Source organism: Homo sapiens, chromosome 2, assembly GCF_000001405.40.
Source record: "Homo sapiens chromosome 2, GRCh38.p14 Primary Assembly".
Taxonomy (NCBI): domain Eukaryota; kingdom Metazoa; phylum Chordata; class Mammalia; order Primates; family Hominidae; genus Homo; species Homo sapiens.
The window spans coordinates 204,026,655-204,029,217 of record NC_000002.12 but is presented as its reverse complement, the minus strand read 5'-3'; the positions used below and the strand labels follow the sequence as shown (position 1 = coordinate 204,029,217).

At 42.5% G+C, this 2,563-nt stretch overlaps 1 annotated feature.

The window, feature by feature from the left end:
- Positions 1,797 to 1,856: an enhancer, noted in NCBI's record as "active region_17017". NCBI's record gives its function as "activates an Ori minimal core promoter by ATAC-STARR-seq in GM12878 lymphoblastoid cells {active_cell/tissue: GM12878}" and the evidence as "EXISTENCE:reporter gene assay evidence [ECO:0000049][PMID:35858748]".

Here is a 2,563-nt window from a genome sequence, read left to right as displayed (position 1 = left end):
TTACAGCAGTAGACATAGAGAATAAGAGAAGCTTTCAGCTGATTTAAAGGAAGAATCTATGGGGCTTTATGATAGATATGAGATGGTAGAAGGGAAAGCATGAAGGTGACTCCCAAGTATCTTGCTAGCAACATAGGCATAACTTACAAAGAAAGCACATAAAATTCAGCTCTAATATGTTAGGACAACTTCAATGTTTTAACTAATCATCTTGCTCCCCCACCCAACACACATGTGTGTTTAGAGGTACAGCCAGGTAGAAGGAACAGAAAATGGAGGGAACAATTTGTAATATTTACATTTTAGTCCAAATATGTATTATACCTTTACCTAAGAGAATGTGAAGCTGGGGTGGAAGGTGATGCATGGAATGGCTCCTACATGCCCTCTAAGAGATCAAAGGTTAGTGGGATTATTTTGGTCCCATTGGCCTTCAGGAGATCTTACATTAAGCTTGGGCCTCACCACCTAGTATTAGGACCTAACCAATACCCAACACCCCTGCCCTCTTCTCGCCCACTACTATGAAATATGAAAGCATTTTACTGGAGAGCAACAGAACCTGTAGAAAATATTTTGTTGAGTTAAAAAATAATGTTGAAAGCAAAAATGCTGGCCTGGTGTGGTGGCTCATGCCTGTAATCTCAGCACTTTGGGAGGCCAAGGCAGGTGGATCACTTGAGGCCAAGAGTTTGAGACCAGCCTGGCCAACATGGCAAAACTGTGTCTCTACTAAAAATGCAAAAATTAGCTAGGTTTGGTGGTGCACATATGTAATCCCAGCTTACTCATGAGGCTGAGGCATGAGAATCGCTTGAACCCAGGAGGTGGAAGTTGCAGTGAGCTGAGACTGTGCCACTGCACTCCAACCTGGGCAACAGAGCAAGATTCTGTCTCAAAAAAAAAAAAAAGGCAAGAATGTTGACCAAAATTCGAGATTGCAGTCTTCAAGAGTGCATTATGTGTCTTTGGATCAGAAGTTCAAATAATAACTCAGCACTGGGTGTAGTATCTGGTATAAAATTGGCTCACAATAAGCATATGATGAATTAATAGACAAATTTTCTTATTTTCATTTTCTTTTTATATGTTGCCTTTGCTTGAAAAAAATCCAAAGGCCATCATCACTATGGTACTCTAAAGAATGTTAGAAGATAGCTAAATTTAAGACAGCTGTGACAATTTTGCAGCACAGTGGAGTGGAAGAAGCATTAGGCTCAGTAGACCTGGGTCTGAGTCCTGGCTTTCCTTGTAATAATCTGTGCTACTTTTGGACAAATCCCTTTCTCTCCCTAGGCCTCCATTTTCCCAAAGGTAGAAGAAGGTGCTGGATCAGGAGGGATCACTGAATCTATGCAATAAATCTATGCCTAGGCTGGTCATGGTGACTCACGCCTATAACCCCAGCAGTTTGGGAGGCCAAGGCAGGCGGATCACTTGAGGCAAGGAGTTCGAGACCAGCGGGACTGACATGGTGAAACCCCGTCTCTACTAAAAATACAAAAGTTAGTCAGGTGTGGTGGTGCATGCCTGCAGTCCCAGCTACTTGGAAAACTGAGGCAGGAGAATCGCTTGAACCCAGGAGGTGGAGGCTGCAGTGAGCCGAGATTGTGCCACTGCACTCCAGCCTGGATGACAGAGTGAGACTCCATCTCAAAAAGAAACAGATAAACAAACAAACAAACAAAAAATGTTGCCCAGAAGATCCAGTTGTTTAAAATTTCTTTTCTGGACTTAAAATATGACTTGGTAGGATTTTCTTTTCATCACCTGATGGATGTCATTTGAAAAATCTTCTGTAATAACCACAATGAATGTGACCTCTAAGCCCTTTCAAGACCTTTAAATAAACATGATATGACAATTATTTTGTGGCATCCATGAGTCACCCATGAATTTTACCACACTGTGCATATGATTTGATCATCATAATCTGAAAAGCCTTTCACAGGAAACACCTGCTGAGACGTAGTTCAGCCCAGCTGCTCTAAATATGAAACACGTCTATACATGTCCCCATGGGAACAGAGATAAGCAGGATAGACTCGGCAAAACCTAAAATGTGCAGCTTTCTCCTCATTCTGCCATTCTTCCATCAGGTGTCTACCATCTCACCTAGAGGCCCCACTCTATATCTTTTTCTCAGGAAAAAGAGCAAAGGAGCAACCATTGGCATGTGCCATTCTACCAAATTTTAACCAGATTTAATTGTCCTGGTCATATTTGGTTCAAAATTTTTTCTTTCCTATTAAAAGCAGCAACAAGTTGGTGGAGATTTATCTTGGTGGGAAAGTATCAAGTAATAGGAAACAGATCCGAGCATAATGGATACTTTTAGAGGTCTGTCTTGCTCTATCTCTCACTGCACCGTCTCCTCTGTGTATAGCTCAGGACTAGGGAATCATGTGCTAGCAACCCGGACTCCTCCATCCTTGCCCTGACTTCTTGACGCCAGTTGCTTTCCTTTCAACACCCTGGTCTAAGTCTCCCAGATGTTCAGCTTTCCCCCTATGCCTTCCTCATTCTCCTGTGGCTTCACCATTGGCCTAGGTTCTCGTCTTTC